Below are 18,501 nucleotides of genomic sequence, written 5' to 3'. Positions count from 1 at the left end.
TAGGAATCTAGGAACTCATAGAATGGCTCTTGATTATTTTAACATTTAACAAAAAACTAATGAATACATCATGTCTGTAATCCCAGCACTTTGGGAGGTCAAGGCAGGCAGATTACCTGAAGTCAAGAGTTCGAGACAAGCCTGGCCAACATGGCAAAACCCCGTCTCTACTAAAAATACAAAAATTAGTAGGGCGTGGTGTCATGGGCCTGTAATCACAGCTACTCAGGAGGCTGACACAGGAGAATTGCTTGAACCTGGGAGGTGGAGGTTGCAGTGAGCTGAGATCGCACCACTGCACTCCAGCCTGGGCAAAAGAGTGAGAATCCATCTCAAAAAAAAAAAAAAAAAAAGAGCACAGAGTAGCTTCAGACAATCTCTAATTCCTCTTCAAAATGGACTCAGCTTGGCCTGGGCAACATGGCAAAACCCTGTCTCTACCAAAAATACAACAAAAAATTAGCCAGGTGTGTTGGCACACACCTGTGGTCCCAGCTACTTGGGAGGCAGAGGTGGAAGGATCACTTGAACCCGGGAGGTAGAGGTTGCAGTAATCCAGGATTGCGCCACTGTGCTCCAGCCTGGGTAACAGTGAGACCCCAACTCAAAAAATAAAACAAAACAACAACAAAAAAAACCCAAAATGGACTCAGCTGGTGATGACTCGTCAAAAGTCTGTGAATCAGTCTAAGTTCCTTTTCTGTGTCCAACATTTTCTTATCTGGTCGAGGTTAGAATGTTCTTGTCCCTATCAGCATTCACAGAGCATTCTTATTTTTGCCTTTTAAGTCCTGGGGAATGGTAGTTTGAGCTACCATTCTGACCCTGTTAGCTGAATGGTTAGCATTTCTAGTAGCTGTGTTCTCTTTAAAGAGGAGTATTTTTCTGTCTACCTTGATAATGGGAAGGAGGTTTAAAGCTCTCTTTTGTGGAAGAAAAAATGTCTTTCTTTTTTAGAGTGAAATGAAATCTGATCTCTTTCATCTCTTTGGCACCATGACACTTCCTGTGTAAAATCATTCTCACAAGGGTAGTTGAGGTCATTGAATTTAATTATCTGAGGCGCCGTACTGTACAGCCTACAATAGCATTAGCATAGTAGAAGATACAGACATGAGGGAAGGTGATGGAAATAACAGAAGTGGTTAGAAGGTACATAGTATGGTGATAATAGCTATCATCAGGCATCTATTATGTGTCCGGTATAGGACTAGACATGCCTCACATATGCTACATACAATACCTTACTTAATTCTTACAACAAATATATGAGGTTGTTAGATGTGGTTTTATTTTTCAGATAAAGAAACTGAGCCTGAGAGATGGTATTTTGAAGAAGGTTATGAGCCTATTATGAAATAGGGTTCAGCTGGAGTATGGCCCATTCTCTTTTCTACACATCATGCTGTCTCCCAATAAAGCAAAACAAATGAAAAAGGAAATGATGTGCTGTAAACCAATTGCGAACCACAAGAAACACTGAATGAAAGGTCACAGGGCGAATTACACAGAGAGTGGTATAAACTTGGCAGGGAGATATAAAATGTTTTATCATTTCCCTGTATAGCAGAGAGGGGAGGAAAAAATGAAAGGAATAGCAAAAACAATGCTTTCCTGAGGTGATCATAAATGTGCTTTCATAGAAAATGACGTTTTAGAGGAACAGTGGAAATTGAAGAAGCAGGAAGGACTGAATATATGGAAGTGATAGACAAGAATGATTAGGAGACCAGAGAGAGAGAAAAAAGTAATTCAGGTAGCCATCATAGCACTGCCTTTCAAACTTTTCTGACTGCAGTCCACAGTAAGAAATACATTTCACATAGGGACCCAGTTAACAACACTGCGTGTGTGTGTGTGTGTGTGTGTGTGTGTGCAGTGATATGTATCATTAAAACAAAGATGCAAAAGCAATTTAGTGAAAAGTGATAGTCTTTTACAAATGGTGCCAAAATAACTGGATATCCATATACAAAAACAATTGAACTTCATATCTCTTCTTATATACAAAAATGGACTTGAAATGGGTCATGGACCTATATGTATAAACCTAAAACTATAAAACTTCTAAAAGAAAACATAGGAGAAAAACTTTGTGATCTTAGATTAGACAAAGATTATTTAGGCTGGGCACAGTAGCTCATGCTTGAGGCCAGGAGTTGAGACCAACCTGGGCAACATAATGAGATCCCATCTCTACAAAAAATAATTTTTTTAACAAAATAATTTTTAGGTGTAACACCTATGGTATGATCCATTAAAGAATAAATTAATAAAGTAAACTTTATCAAAATTAAAAACTTCTGCTCTTCACAAGACACTTTAAAAAATGAAACTACAAGCACAGATTAGAAGAAAATATTTGCAAGGTACATATCTGATAAAGGACTTGTATTCAGAGCATATAAAATACTCTTGGTCTAATATCCAGCATCCATAAGGAACAGAAACAAATTTACAGGAAAATAACAAACAACCCCATTAAAAAGTGGGCAAGTGATAAGGATACTTTTCTAAAGAAGACATACATGTGGCCAAGAAGCATATGAAAAAAAAAGCTCAATATCACTGATCATTAGAGAAATGCAAATCAAAACCACAAAAACACCAGTCAGGATGGCTATTATTAAAAAGTCAAAAAATAACAGATGCTGGCGAGGATGCAGAGCAAAGGGAACACTTGTTGGAGTGTAAATTAGTTCAACCATTGTGGAAAGCAGGGTGGCGCTTCCTCAAAGAGCTAAAAACAGAACTGCCATTTAATGCAGCAATCCCATTACTGGGTATAAAACCAGTGGAATGTAAATTAGTGTATCATAAAGACACGTGCACACAAATGTTCATTGCAGCACTACTCACAATAGCAAAGACATTGAATCAAACTAAATGCCCATTAATGATAGATTGAATAAAGAAAACATGGTACATATACGACATGGAATACTATGCAGCCATAAGAAAGAGTGAGATCCTGTCTTTTGTGGGAACATGGATAGAACTGGAGGCCATTAGCCTTAGCAAACTAATGCAGGAATAGAAAACCAAATACTGCATGTTCTCACTTATAAGTGGGAGCTAAATGATGAGAACTCACAGACACAAAGAAGAGAACAATAGCCTACTTGAGGGTAGAGGATGGGAGGAGGGAGAGGAGCAGAAAAAGTAACTATTGGGTACTAGGCTTAGTACCTGGGTGACAATCTGTACAACAAACCCCCATGACATGAGTTTACCTATATAACAAACTTGCACATGTACCCCCAAACCTAAAATAAAAGTTTTTTAAAAAGCTCAACTCTCTCAATAAGAAGACGAGGCAATTAAGAAATGGGCAAAAGATTTGAACACTTTACTAAAGAAAATATATGGATAGCAAATAAGCAAAAGGTCCTCTACATGATTAGTCATTAGAGATTGCAAATTAAAACTGCAATGAGGTATCACTACATACCTATTAGAATGCACCAATTAAGAAGACCAAGTGTTGGCAAAGATGTGGAGAAAATAGAACTCTCATATACTGCTAGTGGGAATGCAAAAATGACACAACTACTGTTGAAGCAATTTGGAAGTTCCTTTACAAATTAATACATCTACCATATGATCCAGCCATTCCACTTCTAGTTATTTACCCAAGATAAATGAAAACAAATGTCCATAAAAAGATTAATACACAAATGTTCATAGCAGCTTTATACAGCCCCAAATTGAAAAGAACCCCAAAGTCCATCAATAGGTAAATGTTACATATCTGTACAATAGAATATTACTCAGCAATAAAAAGGAATAAACTATTGCTACATGTTACAATTTGGATGATCTCAAAATAATTATGCTTAGTGTAGGGAGCCAGACAAGCCAGGCACCGGTGGCTCACACCTGTAATCCCAGCACTTTGGGTTGGGTGGATCACTTGAGGTCAGGAGTTTGAGACCAGCTTGGCCAATATGGTGAGGCCCCATCTCTACTAAAAATACAAAAACTAGCCGGGCGTGGTGGCGTGTGCCTGTAATCTCAGATACTAGGGAGGCTGAGGCAGGAGAATACTTGAATCCAGGAGGCAGAGGTTGCAGTGAGCGGAGATTGCACCAGTGCACTCCAGCCTGGGCAACAGAGCAAGACTCCCTCTCAAAAAAAAAAAAAAAAAAGAAGAAGAAGAAGCCAGACAAAAGAGAGTGCATACTGTATGATTCGATGCCATTTAGATCAAATTCTGGGAACCGCAAACTAATCTATAGTAACAGAAAGCAGAAAAGTGATTGCCTGGGTATGGGAAAAATGACAGATAAGTTCTTGATCTTAACTACAGTGAGAATCCATGGATAGAGCTGTTTGATTTCGCAAATAAAAACATAGAGTGGCCAGTTAAATTTGAATTTCAGATGAATAAATTTTTTTAGTATGAATATGTACCATGCAAATGTTTGGGACATACTTATACTAAAAATGTTTCATTGTTTATCTGAAATCCGAATTTAACTGGGCATTCTGTACTTTAAATCTGACAACCCTGTTCATGTGTGTACATATATGTAAAAATGTACAGATGTATGCTTCAAATATGTGCAATTTATTGTATGTCAATTACATCTCAATAAAGCTGGTTTAAAAAAAAAAGAAAGAAATTGAAGTTAACCAAGGAAGATGAAATGACTTTCCCAAGTTCTCTATGCCAGTGGCAGCAAGGTCAAAACCAAAATCTTAATTGCCATTTTTCCCTGTTCAAGTGCTCTTTCTATTATACCAAGTAGGTTCTTAAAAAAAAATGTTTATTTACAGAGATGGGAAAATAAATCCTTAAAGTAAGAATATTCAGATAAAGAAATTTAATTTGTAAATCTTTACTGTCATGTGGCTTTACCCACCTAATATTTCACCTGTTTATAAATCCATTTTACAAGCTAAGTGCTGCAGCATAGTGAAATCCATTTCTGGAATGAATAAGGAGTCACTTTATTTCAGTCTTCTTAATGATCAGGAAGCACAGCCAGTTCCCTGGGTGTCTTAAGTAGAGAAGGGCAAAGGTTTTACAAAGAGATACCAAAAAATGTAAAGATTCTGTTGATTACAGCTTACTTGCTTTACACCATTAAATATTTCTCAATAATCCAGATAGCAGGTTTACATGTTTTTCTTACAGCATACTTTGAGCTATTTTCCCTTTATTATATATTTACAAGGTTGAGAAATACCACTTACTGGTCTAAATTACCCTGGCCTAAATTGAAGTCACTTACTGCCATCTAGAAATAGACAAGCCCTTCCTAATGTACTGTTTATCTAGGGAATTGCCACATTTCATCCAGGCTAAAAGTGTCATTTTCATAAATTACATTTAACTTGTCTATAATTGTGATACTCTTTGCTATCAATGCCTACATTTAAAGTGGTAAATTTCTTTTCTCTTTTTGAAGCAAAACTACTATTAAGTCAATGGGTTTTTTTGGGTTTTTTTTTGTTGTTTTTTTTTTTGAGGCAGGGTCTCACTCTGTCTCCCAGCTAGAGTGCAGTGGCACGATCTTGGCTCACTGCAGCCTCAACCTCCTGACCTCCTGGGCTCAAGCAATCCTCCAGCCTCAACCTCTCAAGTAGCTGGGACCACAGGTGTGTGCCACCATGCCCAGTTAATTAAAAAAAATTTTTTTTGTAGAGACAGGGGCTCACTATGTTTCTCAGGCTGGTCTTGAACTCCTGGACTCAAGTGATCCTCCTGTCTTGGCCTTCCAAAGTAGTCATGAGCCACCACGCCTGGCCTCAATGGTACATACGTTTTACAAGCCATATTGTTATAGAGTGGAGGATTGAGAGCACTATTTCCACCCAGTCCAGTGTCGGTTGTGCTCTGTGGATTACATCATAATTACCATCATTACTCAGAGCAATAAAAGAGCTATGCATACCTCTCAGCTCTTTCCAGTGTGGGTAAAACCGGCGCGATTCTTACCTAATGTTATTTCCAATCTATCTGTATAATTTAGTGTCTTCCCCACTTTTCTATTTTTTATTGTGCTGGCAAATCTGTTTTATATTCACATCTTCTCACTGGTCATTTATACAACTCTAATAATAAGAAAACCAATTAACACAAAGGCAGAAATGATATGGGGCCAAATTGACACTGGCAATGTAGAGTCAAGCAAGACTCTCCACTGGGACCTGTTATTGTACAAATAAAAAGTACGTTCTTTTATGAATCTACAAAATAGTCCACTTAAATGAAATACTTATTTTTGCAGTTATGTAATCAATTAATTAAGTCTAATAAATAGAGAAGCTTCATTCATATCTAAAATATGCAAGAAGGAGATGTAAGATAAAAGACAAATATGAAAACTGCTGTAGAACAGGATTTAGTAAACCATGGCTCATGTGCCAAATCTGGCTTGCCACCTTTTTTTATACAGCTAAAAGTGGGCTTTCACTTTGTAAGTGGTTGAAAAAAGTTAAAAGAAAAATATTTACCAACCCATAAAAACTATATAAAATTCTAATTTCAGTGCCCATAAATTCTGTTTTATTAGAACACAGCCACACTTACTGGTTTACGTATTGTCCACTGCAGTGACAGGGTTGAGGAGTTGTGATAGAGATTGTATGTATGACCTGCAAGCCTAAAACATTTACTATCTGACCTTTAAAAAAAAATGTGCTGACCTCTGCTCTAGATCAAAGAGTTTGATTATGGAGGCCAGGCACAGTGGCTCATGTCAGTAATCCCAGCACTTTGGGAGGCCGATGTGGGAGGATCACTTGAGGCCAGGGGTTTGACACCAGCCTGGGCAACATAGTAAGACCCTCATATCTACCAAAAAAATTTTAAAAATTAGCCGAGTGTGGAGGCCCATGCGTGTAATCACAGCTACTTAGGAGGCTGAGGTGGGGGAATTATTTGGGCCCAGGAGTTCAAGGCTGCAGTGAGTCAGGATTGTGCCACTGCACTCCAGCCAGGGCAACAGAGTGAGACCCTGTCTCTAAACAATAACAACAACAACTAAAGAGCTTGAATATGGAGGAATACCAATAATTGCCCTCTCCCTTGCCTTTTGTGAGGATAGTTTCTGAATGAGCCCCTGGCTTGCCTTCATTTCTTTGCATTGCTTTAGTATAAACCCATATCCTTGGCTGGGTCCGGTGGCTTACACCTGTAATCCCACCACTTTTGAGGTGGGCAGATCACCTGAGGTCAGGAGTTTGAGACCAGCCTGACCAACACAGTGAAACCCTGTCTCTATTAAAATTACAAAATTAGCTGGGTGTGGTGGCGCATGCCTGTAATCCCAGCTACTTCAGAGGCTGAGGCAGGAGAATCGCTGGAACCCAGGAGGCAGAGGTTGCAGTGAGCTAAGATTGTGCCATTGTACTCCAGCCTGGGCAACAAGAGCGAAGCTTCATCTCAAAAAAAAAAAAAAAAGCCATATTCACAAGTATGATAGTACGAACACCAAACTAATTATGATTTAGCTAGCAACAGAGACCAAAGAGGAGAAAAGAAGTAACTTCAAATAATTTCATGTGGTCTTAAAAGTAAATTGCACAGCAGCAGTAAAAAGTTGCATTGTAGCTGTGTGTTTGTGTGTGTGTGTTTTCTCTGAGGAATGTTTTCCTTTTTGCTTTGTAGCTGACTACCCAGAGGCCAGCACACTCTTCTCCCTTTCCAGAGAGCTTCCATTTTATTTGGGTGTCTACCCTGACCTCACATGACTCAGGATTAAATTCTGAATCATCCAAGCCAGTCATCGAAATTCCAGTTCCCTTGCCAGCTCTTGGTTTTAGGAAGAGACGAATGACTCAATCCTGGTGAATAAAATGAGAGAGGAATTTATCTGAGGTTTTCTAGGAAGGGCTTCCCTGCTGATTAAACATACACACACCCTCTTGAACATCATTGTATCTGCCTATGATAACTGAAACCGTGACAGCCTCCTTGGGACCTCAAGGGGAACTGGCCAGGGGTAAGGAGAGGATGCAGTGCACACAGATGGAAAAGCCTGTGATTCCGAAGACATCATTGAGCTACTGAAGAAAGCAACCCTGGATTCCTCCTGCCTCAGAAGATCTTATTATGGGACATAATTTTCCTTAATTGTTTAATCAATTTTGCAATGGATTTCCTATTACTTGCAGCACTCAAATGGATTTTTATTAGTTCTATATACACAAATCTTACTAATTTTTTTCATGAAATATCTAGAGACTATCTATGTGAATGGTGAGCATTTCTTATAATAAAACTGACTATACCATGCACATTTATGCTAGGAAAATTGCAAGCCAAAATAAAGAAAATGTAATTTATTTGTTATCTACTTAGATTTTCCTTTCAGGAGAGATGAATATGTGGATTCACCTGGTTGCAAAATTTTGTCAAGATGGGTCAGTTTTACTTTTCAACTAAAAGTCCAAGGATGTTTACAAAATTTTTGATTCTGCCTTCTTTCTCTACTTGACAGGAAAACTACAGAATTTTATATTTTTGATTACATCAGCAAATTTAATGAGCAAGCAGTCTTCTTTCAGCAAATATTACTATGCATTTGCTTGGTGCATTGCACTGTCCAGAATGCTAAAGAGGTTCCAAAGCAAACGAGACGTCGTGCGAGTCTCTAATAGGGACGAAAAACGGGTTAACTGTCAAGCAAAGAGACAAGACACATAGTCACGAAACGGCTAGGAAACCTCAGCACACAAATGAAACAGATCAAATTGTACTTTAAAGTTTCAGTGAATAATAATGTCTGCCATGAAGAACAGAAAATGTTTTCTCTTTTTTTTTTTTTTTTTTTTTTTGAGATGGAGTCTCACTCTGTTGCCAGGCTGGAGTGCGGTGGTGCAATCTCAGCTCACTGCAACCTCCGTCTCCCGGGTTCAAGCGATTCTCCTGCCTCAGCCTCCTGAGTAGCTGGGACTACAGGCACACGCCACCACGCCCAGCTAATTTTTGTATTTTTAGTAGAGACAGGGTTTCACTATGTTGGCCAGGATGGTCTTGATCTGTTGACCTTGTGATCCACCTGCCTCGGCCTCCCAAAGTGCTGGAATTACAGGCCTGAGCCACCATGTCCAGCTCAGAAAATATTTTCTAAAGGAGGTGAGCATGGTCTTTAGATTGTATGGGAGGCCAGAAAAACAGAGGCCATGTCATAATGACCTTTGTTCACACTGAGCCAGTATTGGGCATGTGGTAAGGTGCCAAATATATTATTTAAGCCATCAGTTAAGCTGTGCATAAGTGTCAGGTGAATTCTCTAATTCTTTGTGACTGAATTCCAATTTATAATTTGAGGCATAATTATATCAGTTACCTAGTTGACACAATAATCCCACGAGTTTATTATTGGAAGCAGTTTAATTAGTAACCACTGCCCCTGCTTTCAGGTTGTCCACAGGAAAGTTTGACTACAAAAAAACAAAAAGAATAATAACAAAGTCCAGGCACGGGACTCATGCCTGTAATCCCAGCACTTTGGGTGTCCAGAGTAGGAGGATCACTTGGGGCCAGGAATTCAAGATCAGTCTGGGCAACACAGCAAGACTTTGTCTTTATTAAAAAGAAAAATGAAAAAAATGAGAAAGTTTATCATTTAAGAATAGAACTAAGGTATGTAGCAAGGATGCTTTAGCCTGCTGTTTATTTGGCTCATTCAGAAATTTGACAAACCTAGCCTTTCAGTTCTTTCAGTGGTTAGGCCCATTGCATAATTGTACCAACTGAATTGAAATGCAGCATTTAAAAATTTTCCGGGCCATGAGTTCATTCTGTGGTAAATGTCAGAATTGGAGAGCCTTATTCACATTAGCAGTTGTAGTAATTAATCTCTAGCAGTATCTCCTTTTTTCTTCCCCCTATGTGCACATGTCAGACGTGCCCATTAGAGTTCATTTCATAGGTTCGAATCCCACCATCGCTCTCTGACCTTTACCTTGGCTTGATTCCCCTGACAAGCCCAGCTGTTCTGCACTGCACATCTTCAAGGGGCAAATTATGACTCTAGTGTCAACAGATTATCAAATATACCTATTGAAACACTCATTTCCAAGGTCTACTTGATTCCTTTTGATTTATTTATTTGGTGGGTTTCCATCTGGTCACTGAAATAGAGGATTGACCTCATGAGGCAATATTATAAAATGAAATAATGTAACTGTGAGCTCTCATCCTTCTACCTCTAAGTATTAAAAATAAATGTAGTGAAAAGCAATTCTTCCTCTGACCTTACACTTAAGTATCTTAACATAAATTCCAGAATAGGAGGGTTTTAAGGCAGTTCTGGAAATTAAGTTGCTAGTTGGAAATTTAAAGAAGTGCTTGCCTCTCACCCAATATGACTTTATATATCTTCAGTCTTTTAATGGAACTCTTTAATTCATGTATTCAATCAACAATTCACTTACTTATTCAACATCCATTTCTTCTGTGGATCTCCCACATTCAAAGCACAGTGCTGGCCATTAAGAATTAACAGAGATAAATAAGATACAACTCTTCTCCAAGAGCTTACAAATGAGGAAGATCCAGTAAATTTGATATAGAAAAGAAGAAGTGAAATTCAATGAAGCTACCATCTACATCGTGCTGAGTGTTTAATTTTGACTTGAAGGGATTAGATAGGTTCTCCATAGAAGGAAGCATTTACAATAAGCCTCATAGTGTTCGGTTTAACAATGAGAAAAGGTTAAGGAAGGTATTATGGTCAGATTAGGAAGACATTATTCTTCAATCCTGAGAAATCTGAATGGACACAAATTCCCAAGTGCTGGAGAAAATTATTTCATGTTATTTCATGTTTTTAAGGAAAGGAAGTGTTTAATGTTGTCTGAGTTTTAAATCACTCTTGGCAGCTGTGTAGAAGATGGATTAGAAAGGAGAGAAACTAGAGCCAAGACTAGTTAAGGAGGCTGTGGTGATAATCCAGATGATGAAGAATTGTTTATTTCTAGCACCTGCCTCTCAAAGAATGCCAGTTTCATAAAGGCAGCGGCCTTTGTTTTTTTCACTGCTATATTCCAAGCACTCAGAAGAGTGCCTGACATGTAGTAGCTGTTCATAAGTACGTGTTGAATAAATGAATAAATCAGTGAAAGAATAAATGAACGAACTAAATGAGACAATGAAACTGCAGAGAATCCCAGTAATAGCATGAAAATAGAAATTTAAAAAAAAACTGCACAGAAGAGGTCAGAAAGACACATTTGCTTCAGGGATGGAATTTTCCCTTTCTCTATTAACACACATTGTAGTTGGGTTCTTTTTTTTCTTTTTTTTCTTCTTTTTTTTAGAGACAGGATCTCACTCTGTTGCCCAGGCTGGAGTGCAGTGGCATGATCATAGCTCACTGCTACCTCAAACTTCTGGGCTCAAATGAGCCTCCTGCCTCAGCCTCCTGAGGAGCTGGGACTACCCGGGCATGCCATGGGCGGCTGGCTAATTAAAAAAATTTTTTTTTTGTAGAGACAGGGTCTTACTATGTTGCCGAGGCTGGTCTCAGACTCCTACACTCCAGTGATCCTCCCTTCTTAGCCTTCCATGGTGCCTGACACACCATGCCCAGCCCTTTTTTCAAGTGTTGGCAGAAGATGAAGTTTGTTGGACTGACTGGACACACACACACACAGAAACACACATACTTGGGTTGCAAAGCATGTGCACTTTTCATCACACCTTCTAAAACTAAGAGCTTTTGACTCAGCTTGTGCTATGGTTTAAGTGTGCCCACCTCCCCAAATTCAGGTGTTGAAATTTAACGGCCAATGTGCTAGGAGTAAGAGGCGGGGCCTTTAAGAGATGATTAGGCCATGAGGGCTCCTCCCTCATGAATGAGATTAAAGCCTTTATAAAGAAGGCTTCACAGCACCTCCAGCTTGCTTGTCCTTCCACCTGCTGCCCTGTTGGGACCTGGTGTTCCTCCCCTCCAGAAGATGCAGCAACAAGGCACCATCTTAGAAGCAGAGAGCGGCCTTCATCACACAACCTGCCAGCACCTTGATCTTGGACTCCCAGCCTTCATAACTGTATGAAAACAAATTTCTGTTCTTTACAAGTTACTTAGTCTCGGGTATTTTGTTATAGCAGCACAAACCAAGACAGCTGGCAAGTAATGGCTTTTTTCAAAAGCTTACTGCAGTCCACAGAACAACTTAGGAACTAATGACAGATAAATATCTACTCTCACATTTACAGTAGGATGCATATAAGTGACCCAGTAGGGAAAAACCATCTATGTTTAAATCATTTTGAGGAACACTGAGCTATGTAATTGTAAATAGTTTATTTACCATAAGTCTTATCAGAACTCTTAATATACTTTCATATGCTGTGAATATCTGCAAGGCAAATGTAGCCAGCAGTGTTCCCAAATGCATTTGACTACAGAGATCCCTCCCGCACACACCACCACCTTCATGGTGCACTCATACGAGCAGCATTTGATGAAGTATTTGGGAAAACACTGGTCTGAGTCTGGACACAGTGGCTCATGTCTGTAATCTCAGCACTTCGGAAGGCCGAGGCAGGAGGTTCACTTGAGGCCAGGAGTTTGAGACCAGCCTGGGCAATAAGACTCCATGTCTACAAATAATAATAATAATTAGCCAAATGTGATGGCCTGCACCTGTAATCCTAGCTACTCGAGAGGCTGAGTCAGGAGGATCCCTGGAGCCCAGGTGGTCAAGGCTGCAGTGAGCTAGGATTGCATCACTTCAGCCTGGGTGAAGCAAGGTCCTGTTTCTAAAAAGGAAAAAAAGTATTTTCTGAAGGGTACACCTCAGAGTAAAATAAAATTAAAAAAAAACTGGCTTAAACATACACTGCAATTCCAAAAAGACTAATACAGTTCTTCCATATTTCACTGTTTAGAAGAGATTGCAAAAAGTTCCTTATGAGAGAGTTTTGTAAATGAGACCTCAACACCTGTCATATGGAAAGAGAAAACAGGTTTTCATGCTCTGACAATTCTATGCTTTATCAAAGTAGTTCTAAGTGAAAACCTGAAGCAAATAAAATTGAAGCCACGATGTTTTCATCAGGGGAAATTAGCCACTCAGTGAATACTCAATTTTCACGGGGAGTGATGGTGATTAGGAAGCTGTGAAAACACCTGCTAAAATTGTTTCTGAAAAACCCTCACATTTTCAGCTTCCTTGGAAAGCTGAGATTCGTTTTCTGAGCACAGTCTTGTTACACGTTGACCATCCTATCAAGAGTACCTGGTCCACATGTCAGGGGCAGTGGATCAAAGCCCTTGCCCACCTTGCACTTTTTGCAAATACTGAGCTCCCTGATTTAAGAACAAGATGAAGGGAGCCACAGGAGCCAGAAAGGACTGAGGCAATGTTGTCACCACAACACAGATTCTGTCTCCAAGGTCTTTGGTTAACTTTTGGAAAAGAAATGAAATTCCTTCTTTCTGTCCCCAGTCTGCCCATACACGTCTACACTCATTTTGGTTCTGGGGCTTTGAACTTCTTCCTGGGCCAGTAGCTCCATTGTCTGTTTTTCATCAGTAAGTACCATTTCTTACAGAAAGTCTTAGATCTTTCACATTCACATAATCAACTTTACCAATTTTAGCAGAGCTTGGTGGCATGTGCCTGTAGTCCCAGCTACTTGGGAGGTTGAGACAGGAGAATCATTTGAACCCAGAAGTCCAAGTCTTTAGAGCACTATTATTGTACCTGTGAATAGCAACTGCACTTCAGCCTGGGCAACATAGCAAGACCCTATCTCTTTTTAAAAAATGAATTTATTTGAGCTATCTGCAAACGTTTTTTATTATATTTTAAGTTCTGGAGTACATGTGCAGAATGTGCAGGTTTGCTTACACATGACATGGTGGTTTGCTGCACCCACCAGCCCATCATCTACATTAGGTATTTCTCCTAATGCTATCCCTCTCCTAGCCCCTCACCCCTCAATGGGACCCAATGTGTGATGTTTCCCTGCCTGTGTCCATGTGTTCTCATTGTTCAACTCCCACTTATGAGTGAGAACATGGCGGTGTTTGGTTTTCTGTTCTTGTGTTAGTTTGCTGAGGATGATGGTTTCCAGCTTCATCCATGTCCCTGCAAAGAACATGACCTCATCTTTATGGCTGCATGGTATTCCATGGTGTATATGTGGCACATTTTCTTTATCCAGTCTTTCATTGATGGGCATTTGGGTTGGTTCCAAGTCAGTATTCACTGTTCACTATTGTGAACAGTGCTGCAATAACCATACGTGTGCATGTGTCTTTATAATAGAATGATTTATAATCCTTTGGGGATATACCCAGTGATGGGATTGCTGAGTCAAATGATATTTCTGGTTCTAGATCCTTGAAGAATTGCCACACTGTCTTCCACAATAGTTGAACTAATTTACACTCCCACCAACAGTGTAAAAGCATTCCTATTTCTACACATTCTCTCCAGCATCTGTTGTTTCCTGACTTTTTAATGATTGCCATTCAAACTGGTGTGAGATGGAATCTAATTGAGGTTTTGATTTGCATTTCTCTAATGACCAGTGATGATGAGCTTTTTTTCATATGTTTATTGGTTGCATAAATGTCTTCTTTAAGAAGTACCCGTTCATATCCTTCACCCGCTTTTTGATAAGGTATTTTTTTCCTTGTAAATTTATTTAAGTTCTTTGGAGATTCTGGATATTAGCCCTTTGTCATATGGATAGATTGCAAAATTTTCTCCCATTCTGTAGGTTGCCTGTTCACTCTGATAATAGTTTCTTTTGCTGTGCAGAAGCTCTTTAGTTTAATTAGATCCCATTTGTCAATTTTGGCTTTTGTTGCCGTTGCTTTTTGGTGTTTTAGTCATGAAGTCTTTGCCCATACCTATGTCCTGAATGGTATTGCCTAGGTTTTCTTCTAGGGATTTTATGGTTTTAGGTCTTACATTTAAGTCTTTAGTCCATCTTGAGTTAATTTTTGTAAAAGGTGTAAGGAAGGGATCCAGTTTCAGTTTTCTGCATATGGCTAGCCAGTTTTCCCAACACCATTTATTAAATAGGGAATCCTTTCCCCATTGCTTGTTTTTGTCAGGTTTGTCAAAGATCAGATGGTTGTAGGTGTATGGTGTTATTTCTGAGGCCTCTGTTCTGTTCCATCGGTCTATATATCTGTTTTGGTTCCAGTACCATGCTGTTTTGGTTACTGTAGCCTTGTAGTATAGTTTGACATCAGGTAGCATGATGCCTCCAGCTTTATTCTTTTTGCTCAAGATTTTCTTGGCTATGTGGGCTCTTTTTTGGTTTCATATGAAATTTAAAGTAGTTTTTTCTAATTCTGTTAAAGTCAATGGTAGCTTGATGGGGATAGTGTTGAATGTATAAATTACTTTGGGCAGTATGGCCATTTTCATGATATTGATTCTTGTTATCCATGAGCACGGAATGTTTTCCATTTGCTTGTGTCCTCTCGCATTTCCTTGAGCAGTAGTTTGTAGTTCTTCTTGAGGAGATCCTTCACATCTCTTGTAAGTTGTATTCCTATGTGTTTTATTCTCTTTGTAGCAATTGTGACTGGGAGTTCACTCATGATTTGGCTGTCTGTTTGTCTGTTATTGGTGTACAGGAATGCTTGTGATTTTTGCCCACTGATTTTGTATCCTGAGACTTTGCCAAAGTTGCTTATCAGCTTAAGGAGATTTTGGGCTGAGACTGTGGGGTTTTGTAAAGATATAATTATGTCATCTGCAAACAGACAATTTGAGTTGCTCTCTTCCTATGTGAATACCCTTTATTTCTTTCTCTTGCCTGATTGACCTGGCCAGAACTTCCAATACTACATTGAATAGGAGTGGTGAGAGAGGTCATCCTATTCTTGTGCTGGTTTTCAAAGGGAGTGCTTCCAGTTTTTGGCCATTCAGTATGATATTGGCTGTGGGTTTGTCATAAATAGCTCTCATTTTGAGATACACTCCATCAATACCTAGTTTATTGAGAGTTTATAGCATAAAGGGCTGTTGAATTTTGTTGAAGGCCTTTTCTGCATCTATTGAGATAATCACATAGTTTTTGTCATTGGTTGTGTTTATGTGATGGATTACTTTTATTGATTTGTGTAGGTTGAACCAGCCTTGCATCCCAGAGATGAAGCCAACTTGATCATGGTGGATGAGATTTTTGATGTGCTGCTGGATTGAGTTTGCCAATATTTTATTGAGGATTTTTGTGCTGATGTTCATCAGGGATATTGGCCTTTTTCTTTTTTTGTTGCATCTCTGCCAGGTTTTGGTATCAGGATGATGCTGGCCTCATAAAATGAGTTAGGCAGAAGTCCCTCTTTTTCTATTATTTGGAATAGTTTGAGAAGGAATGGTACCAGCTCCTCTTTGTACCTCTGGTAGAATTTGGCTGTGAATCTGTCTGGTCCTGGACATTTTTTGGTTGGCAGGCTATTAATTACTGCCTCAATTTCAGAACTTGTTATTGGTCTATTCAGGCATTTGACTGCTTCCTACTTTAGACTTGGGAGGGTGTATGTGCCCAGGAATTTATCCATTTCTTCTAGATTTTCTAGTTTATTTGCGTACAGCTGTTTATAGTATTCTCTGATGGTAGTTTGTATTTCTGCAGGATCAGTGGTGATCTCCCCTTTATCATTTTTTATTGCATCTATTTGAATATTCTCTCCTTTCTTCTTTATTAGCCTGGCTAGCAGTATATTTTGTTGATCTTTTCAAAAAACCAGCTCCTGGATTCATTGATTTTTTGAAGGGTTTTTTGTGTCTCTATCTCCTTCAGTTCTGCTCTGATCTTAGTTATTTTTTGTCTTCTGCTAGCTTTTGAATTTGTTTGCTCTTGCTTCTCTAATTCTTTTAATTGTGATGTTAGGGTGTCAATTTTTATTTTATTTTTATTTTATTATTATTATACTTTAAGTTTTAGGGTACATGTGCACAATGTGCAGGTTAGTTACATAAGTATACATGTGCCATGCTGGTGTGCTGCACCCATTAACTCGTCATTTAGCATTAGGTATAGCTCCTAATGCTATCCCTCCCCACTCCCCCTACCCCACAACAGTCCCCAGAGTGTGTTGTTCCCCTTTCTGTGTCCATGTGTTCTCATTGTTCAATTCCCACCTATGAGTGAGAACATGCGGTGTTTGGTTTGTCCTTGCGATAGTTGACTGAAAATGATGATTTCCAATTTCATCCATGTCCCTACAAAGGACATGAACTCATCATTTTTTATGGCTGCATAGTATTCCATGGTGTATATGTGCCACATATTCTTAATCCAGTCTATCATTGTTGGACATTTGGGTTGGTTCCAAGTCTTTGCTATTGTGAATAGTGCCACAATAAACATATGTGTGCATGTGTCTTTATAGCAGCATGGTTTATAATCCTTTGGGTATATACCCAGTAATGGGATGGCTGGGTCAAATGCTATTTCTAGTTCTAGATCCCTGAGGAATTGCCACACTGACTTCCACAATGGTTGAACTAGATTACAGTCCCACCAACAGTGTAAAAGTGTTCCTATTTCTCCACATCCTCTCCAGCATCTGTTGTTTCCTGACTTTTTAATGATTGCTATTCTAACTGGTGTGAGATGGTATCTCACTGTGGTTTTGATTTGCATTTCTCTGATGGCCAGTGATGATGAACATTTTTTCATGTGTTTTTTGGCTGCATAAATGTCTTCTTTTGAGAAGTGTCTGTTCATGTCCTTCGCCCACTTTTTGATGGGGTTGTTTGTTTTTTTCTTGTAAATTTGTTTGAGTTCATTGTAGATTCTGGATATTAGCCCTTTGTCAGATGAGTAGGTTGCAAAAATTTTCTCCCATTTTGTAGGTTGCCTGTTCGCTCTGATGGTAGTTTCTTTTGCTGTGCAGAAGCTCTTTAGTTTGATTAGATCCCATTTGTCAATTTTGGCTTCTGTTGCCATTGCTTTTGGCATTTTAGACATGAAGTCCTTGCCCATGCCTATGTCCTGAATGGTAATGCCTAGGTTTTCTTCTAGGGTTTTTATGGTTTTAGGTCTAATATTTAAGACTTTAATCCATCTTGAATTAATTTTTGTATAAGGTGTAAGGAAGGGATCCAGTTTCAGCTTTCTACATATGGCTAGCTAGTTTTCCCAGCACCATTTATTAAATAGGGAATCCTTTCTCCATTGCTTTTCTCAAGTTTGTCAAAGATCAGATAGCTGTAGATATGCGGTGTTATTTCTGAGGGCTTTGTTCTGTTCCATTGATCTATATCTCTGTTTTGATACCAGTACCATGGTGTTTTGGTTACTGTAGCCTTGTAGTATAGTTTGAAGTCAGGTAGCGTGATGCCTCCAGCTTTGTTCTTTTGTCTTAGGATTGACTTGGCAATGCGGGCTCTTTTTTGGTTCCATATGAACTTTAAAGTAGTTTTTTCCAATTCTGTGAAGAAAGTCATTGGTAGCTTGATGGGGATGGCACTGAATCTATAAATTACCTTGGGCAGTATGGCCATTTTCACGATATTGATTCTTCCTACCCATGAGCATGGAATGTTCTTCCATTTGTT

General features: G+C 39.0%; 1 protein-coding gene across 5 annotated transcripts in view, besides 1 other annotated feature; it reads left to right on the top strand.

Moving 5' to 3' along the window:
* Positions 1 to 18,501, top strand: part of SPMIP2 (sperm microtubule inner protein 2) — a 189,752-nt gene that overhangs the window by 78,243 nt on the left and 93,008 nt on the right. The window lies entirely within an intron of this gene.
* Positions 7,185 to 8,384: an enhancer, noted in NCBI's record as "P300/CBP strongly-dependent group 1 enhancer chr4:159917411-159918610 (GRCh37/hg19 assembly coordinates)". NCBI's record gives its function as "activates an origin of replication core promoter dependent on BRD2, BRD4, P300/CBP, MED14 and CDK7 cofactors, with strong dependence on P300/CBP, by STARR-seq in HCT116 cells {active_cell/tissue: HCT116}" and the evidence as "EXISTENCE:reporter gene assay evidence [ECO:0000049][PMID:35650434]".

This window comes from Homo sapiens, chromosome 4, assembly GCF_000001405.40.
Source record: "Homo sapiens chromosome 4, GRCh38.p14 Primary Assembly".
NCBI lineage: Eukaryota > Metazoa > Chordata > Mammalia > Primates > Hominidae > Homo > Homo sapiens.
The sequence above is the reverse complement of the archived record's forward strand: the minus strand, read 5'-3'. Positions and strand labels throughout refer to the sequence as shown.